Source organism: Homo sapiens, chromosome 2 (assembly GCF_000001405.40).
Source record: "Homo sapiens chromosome 2, GRCh38.p14 Primary Assembly".
NCBI lineage: Eukaryota > Metazoa > Chordata > Mammalia > Primates > Hominidae > Homo > Homo sapiens.
The window spans coordinates 71,789,353-71,795,236 of NC_000002.12; the positions used below are offsets into that span (position 1 = coordinate 71,789,353).

The following is a 5,884-nucleotide window of genomic DNA, read 5'->3' on the forward strand; positions in this document are numbered from 1 at the left end:
GATTACAGGCATGTGCCACCATGCCCAGCCAATTTTGTATTTTTAGTAGAGACAGGGTTTCGCCACGTTGGTCAGTCTGGTCTCGAACTCCTGACCTCAGGTGATCCTCCCGCCTCGGCCTCCCAAAGTGCTGGGATTACAGGCATGAGCGCTGCACCCAGCCAAGAGTTCAGTTTTAGATGGCAGCCTGGCCCCTGCAAGAGCTGACGGTCAATGCAGTCACTGCGCTGTAGGTCTCAGTTTCCTTAGCTTTAAAATGGCGGTAAGAGAACAGAGGCTTCATGGGGAAGATGGAAATGGGCTTTGAAGGATGGGAAGGAAGAGGAAGGAGCACCTTCCAGAGCAAAGCAGAAGCAAAGATTCAGAGGGGAGAGTGGACGGCGACTGTTTTCAGGTATGAAGGAGGCTAGGCTCTGTCACTCTCCCCAGCAGCGCGACCTGGAACAACTTAACTTGTCTGTGCCTCAGTTTCTCATCTGCGTAGTGGGGATTGTAACAGCACTATGCCGCCCTGGTTAAGTGACATCATGTTTGTAAAATTCTAGGCAAATGCCTGACGCATAGTGAGTGCCTCATGACAGGTTTGTGTAGTATTTATTCACTTATTCATTTATTTAATAACAGCCTTTGGCTATTCATTTTAATTCCCTTGAGCAACACAAGATGGCGTTCGCTCAAGCATGCGACTCCCAGACGCTCATCCAGAGGTCTTCAGGGAGGGAGATCCCTGGGACTTGCAAACTCCAGCTCCTCACACAAGATGCTGTTGGTGTCTGCAAGGCTCCCCTGATACCTTGAATTCTTCTCAGGTGGTGGGGGAGGTTTTCTCTTCCTCTGGGGCAAAGAGGGATGCAGGCAGGGGTGGGAATTCAGCTCCAGGGCAGAGGGTGTCCATCTCTAAGTCCTGCCTCAGTCCCAGCTTCCTAGCCCCCTGTGTCCATGACCACAGCCTGGTAGAGAAGGGGTCCCATAGGAGGCCAATCTCTCTGGCCACCCCAGCCTGTCCCAGGGACCAGAGACCCCACAAGTCTTTGATGCTGGGGGCAGTCTGAGGAGAAAAGGGTGAGGTGGTGGAGAGGGGGCATGCGTGGCCAAGGATTGCAGCTCCAAGTGAGAAATAAGCAGGAGCAGATGGAGCCCAGAGCACAAAGTTCCTGTTTTCACGCAAATGTCTGGGACAATAAAAGTCAGGGGGGAAGACGGGGGTGGGGTTGGAGGGGAGCATAGAACCAGGGGTGGGGGTGCAGAAAGAAGATGCCATGTCAGCAGAATTAGCTCTTATTAAAATAGTTTCCGTCGAATTGGTTGGGGATGGGGGTGGACTTTCCAGCCCCCTGCCCAGAGCCCTTGGCTGGCCTGCTAGGGACTGGCCCAGCCTGAGAAGGACGGGGAGGGCTCTGGGCCTGTGCCTGCTGGGGACGACCAGACAGCGAGTGCTCCTCAGAGCTGATTGCATTTCCTGGCCTTTGATGCCCAAGATCAAAGCAGGGCCAGGCCATCCTGGCCTCCAGGCCTCCTGGCAGCCTCTCTGCCTGCAGGGTCCAGGCTGTGTGGTCATGGTGGCTGGAGAGGGCAAGGCAGCCTGGCATCCCTGGTAGGCCCAGAGCAAGAGCAAGCTAGAGGACCAGGATGTGGGCTGCGGGGGGCTGCAGCCGTGGATATAGCCCATATCTGCTGTCCACGCATGCCTGTGCTTATCATGCTGGTTCTGTGTCCTCAGATGAGATGTTAAACGTGGAGGTCACTAATGCCCAGGTCGTGGGAACTTGGGAGTTGGGTTCCATATGGCCCAGATCAACTGTTACATGAGCCATGCCTTGGATCCTGCAGCCTGTGGAGATGGCTGGGGGGTCCATCTTGCTATAGCAAGAAAGAGCTGTAACACTGCTGTGCAAGCTGGCCTTTCATGGGATCCTGGCTGGGAGGGCTTCAGGGGTGGTTTGGACAAGGGTCTCCATACACAGACCTTCCTCCCAAGGGTCCCCTAGCTCCCCTTGCTGGCCCAAAGGGCTCCATCCTGGGGCATTTCTAGTACCTTCCTTTTATTTGCACCAGCCTGGGCCCCCTTTGGGGAACTAGCCCTGGGGGTTGCTCAATGATGAGAGGACAGCTGCTTAGGGTCCTGCTCCTAGTGTACAGGGAGGCAGATAAGCCCCTCTTGATGCACTGCAGCGATCTGCAGGAGTTGGTCCCCAACTCCCGGGCAGGTTTCCTGGACGTCTTTGCCTGTTATGCCCTTGTGAGGGCTTCAGGTTCAGACGGCTGCCTCAGCTCAGGCCAGACTCCTTGCCTGGCTTCTTCCACCCAGGTGTCCATCGGGTGGTGCTGACTCAGTTTCCCTTTGATGTGAAGCATGCAAGGGGATACCAGGCAGAGGCTAGCCTGGGGTAGGAGTTGGGCAGTGTGGAGGCTGTGTAAAAAATGCTGGGGAGGCAGAGGCTTCTACAATCACATACCTGCAGGGCCTGGGGGCAGGGTCCTCCCCGTGCAGTGGCGTTGGTGTTCCTGCAGGCCTGCGTGTTGCAGCGGGGCCCTGGCGGCTCCAGTGCCCACCCATGTGGAGAGGATTAGGGCCTGGAAAGATACATTTTCCCCTCTTCCTTCTTGGAAAGAGGATCAAGGGGACCTGGTGACAGCCCAGAGATTCTGGGCGTGTGAACAGCCCCACTTCCGTCCATTTCCCAGGCAGCCTGAGAGATGCACACCATCTGCCCCAGTGCCGAGCCTGGAGCCCCCAGCCCACCCAGAAAAGGAGGCACCAGTCGCCTGCTCTTCCATCCTTGGAGGCCCTGCCCTAAAGGGGGAGCAGAGAAAGTGGACTGGGGGCTTCGTGGAAATAAGGCAGCCGCTGGTGATTGATACCTCCTGGGTTATCTGGAGTGGTTACTCTTAACTCACTGGTTGTTCTTGTATTCTCAGGATGTAATTACATTGTGACTTCCTGGGATAGGAGCCCTGATCGCACCCCTACAAGGTTTCTATAGTCTGGGCTTGGTCTTCAGCCAGCCCCTGCCACTGATTTCTTGGGACCTCTGTTGGGCCTTCCAGAGTTTGAGGCTGAGCACAGAAATAACTGTTTCAGTCTGAGCCATGCCCTTGTGAGCAGGAGTAGCAGTGAAGTGGGTGGGAGCATGGTTTAGGTGGCTAGGAAAGACCCAGGGCTCAGGCACCAAGCAGAATTAGGACTGGGGCAGGGATTTTTAACCTGGGAATACGTGCATGGCTAGCCCCTTCCCCACTGCCAGACCTTATTCTCCCTGCTCTGTGTGATGTGTGTGTGAGTTTGCTTGGGCACACACGCAAGAATGAAATGACACTGGTCATCTTCCCCTCCCCTTGCCTCTCTTCTCCTGTCATCTCCTTCTCCACTCCTGTCCTCTTAGCTCTCTCCTTCTCTCTCTCCCTTCCTTCTCTTCCTTCCTCTCTCTCTCGGATACCTCGGACTGGGTGGTGATATATCTCAATTGCCTATGCCATGCCTATGAATAAGGGGCTAGAAACTGCCGTGCTCGGTTCCCAAGCTTGAGGGAAGGTTGTTTCTTCTCCCTCTCTTCCGAGTCCTCAGCATAGCTGAGTGTGGTGGTACACGGGTCTTGTGGGAGGAGGGGATGTGTCATTGGCCAAGAGTGGGGATTGGAGAACAACTCTGAACTTGGTTTTCATGCTGTTCCTCCAACAGGAACCCTCTTTAGATGTGACTTAGTGTGACCAAAGCCATTCTGCTACCCACCCAACAGGATCCCATTCCTGAGCCATGTAAGCCAGGGCCTTGCCACAGGGTTGCTCAGAGGTAGAACGGGGTGGAGGGAAGTGGCTGAGACCTGACCCATGCTAAGACCTTGTGCCTGGCCCCTTCAGCTGACCCTTCCTGAGATTCCTTGTGTTTGAGTGTGTACACACTTGCATGTTTTCCTGTCTGCACACGAGTCAGCCTGCATGGGCAATTGTGTGTATGTATATACATCCATGCACATGAGTCAGTATAGGGAAAATGTGCTGTGCATACACATACGCACTGTACATGTATGCACGTGAGTCAGTGTGGGGATTACGTGCTTGCGTATGTGGGCTCACAAATGGAAGGCTTGGCTGGGAAACCCAAGTCTCCCTGTCCCAGGCCTCAACCCTTGCTCCCTGGGGCCCTGATGGAGGAGAACAGAGAGTCCCCAACTCTCGCTATCTGGGACAGCGGCTTCTGTTGGATTCCCCCCCACCCCTTTCTTTCTTGACACAAATAGCCTGTGGAACAAAGGGAACTGGGGATTTGGATTATTTACACAGTCAACATTAAGCAAGTTGTGGTCTATTTAAATTCTTCTTTATTAGGCTGGGAAATTCCATGGCAAACACTCAGACAGTAAGGAAACCTCCAACGCAGCAGCTCCCAGCTCCTGCCATTGCTGTGGTTCCCCATCTCCTCTCCCCTGCTCCCACCTCTCTGACCCCTGCTTCCTCCATTCAAGCTCCCTGATATCATGCCAACCCCCTCCACCTGACACAAGCCCTCCAGATTCCCCCTCCATGCCTCCCATCCATTGGCCCAAATTTCCTTTCTTCCATCTCCCTTCCCTCTGCCTCCATTTCTCAAACCTCCACCCCTGCCTCCCACCTTGCTTCTTCTTCCTAGACTTGGGAGGGACAGCTGGAAGCCCAGCCCCACACCCAGCATCCAGTCTACAGGCACAGTGTGCAGAGAGAGGGAAAAAAAGCAAGGCCCGTGAAAGCATGGGAGGAGGCAGGTGGTGGCCATCCCAGTGCAATTCATCAATGTGCCTGGGAGGCTGAGCCTCTCTGCAGCTGACTCTGTGAGACAGTTTGAGTGGGGAAAGAAAGGGTCCTATCTACAGGTAGAGCCACAGGGGTGCTCCATGTCTCCGGTAAATTCAACATAGTGACAGAGTGAGACAAGTTGAGGGATCTGATGCTTATGCTAAAGACAGGGGCCTCTGCTGTCACCCAGGCTGACACTCAGGAGCTCTGTGATCTGGGGCTACAGCAGATGATTTGTCTGGGCCAGAGTGAAGGAGACGCCAAGCATTAGGTTTCAGGGCAGTGAGAAGTCCTGGGTGGAGGTGAGGGGGAAGTTGGGCAGAAGAATGGGAGGCCCCTGAGGCTGCAGGGCCAGAGTGGGGAGGGGCAAGCCACTTGGGAAGGGGTCTGCTGGGTAACCTGGTCCTGAGGTAGCTGCAGCCATGTTAGCTGTGTTCTTCAAGACTTTTTCTATGAGGCCTTAGAACCCAGGCCTGGGACTCGAGTCTGGAGGATTCAAGGAGGCTGATGCTCCCCCGTATAGGGCAGGGAATCACTTCTGCTCCTTCAAAGCTGTCAAAAAGTGGCTTCTGGATGTCTCCAGAGGCAGAGGTTTGCACCACTGAAATGCCCCAGCAGAAGCTGGGCCTTCCCAGAGGGGCTCCTGGTGCGGGTGCAAGGGGCCCTTCAGATCCCTCCCCATGGAGCCAGGCAGGCCTGGGGCAGAGGAGGCGCTGAGCATGGGGAAGCTCAGAGGACTGCGAACTTCCTTCAGAGGGGACCCCCTCCGGACCAAGGGTCTACAGGGTTGGTCTCTTCTCCCTTGGGAAGGGCTCTCCATCATGTCCCTGGGGATGGGCCATACCCTTTCTTTAGCCCTGAGGGCTTTTCCAGAGGAAGACATCATCAGGGGCAGAAGGGAAGCTTGAAAAAAGATGAGAGAAGGGGGTGCTGGGAAGGTGGGGGGTGGGAGAGTATGGATTGAGAACCAACAGAGAGCATCCAGTGGACAGCCCAGCCTCCCATTCTTGAGCAGGGGCCCCTCTGCAAGCCCTCAGCTCCAGAGTGCTCTCCTGTCACTGTACTCACCTCTTTTGAAATAGCTCTTTTCTTGTTTTTCTCTGCAACTAGACTG

At 55.0% G+C, this 5,884-nt stretch overlaps 2 annotated features.

The window, feature by feature from the left end:
- Positions 1,995-2,982: an enhancer, noted in NCBI's record as "H3K4me1 hESC enhancer chr2:72018477-72019464 (GRCh37/hg19 assembly coordinates)". NCBI's record gives its function as "activates a minimal SCP1, AML or CMV promoter by ChIP-STARR-seq in naive H9 embryonic stem cells {active_cell/tissue: H9 hESC(naive)}" and the evidence as "EXISTENCE:reporter gene assay evidence [ECO:0000049][PMID:30033119]".
- Positions 4,966-5,577: an enhancer, noted in NCBI's record as "H3K4me1 hESC enhancer chr2:72021448-72022059 (GRCh37/hg19 assembly coordinates)". NCBI's record gives its function as "activates a minimal SCP1, AML or CMV promoter by ChIP-STARR-seq in primed H9 embryonic stem cells {active_cell/tissue: H9 hESC(primed)}" and the evidence as "EXISTENCE:reporter gene assay evidence [ECO:0000049][PMID:30033119]".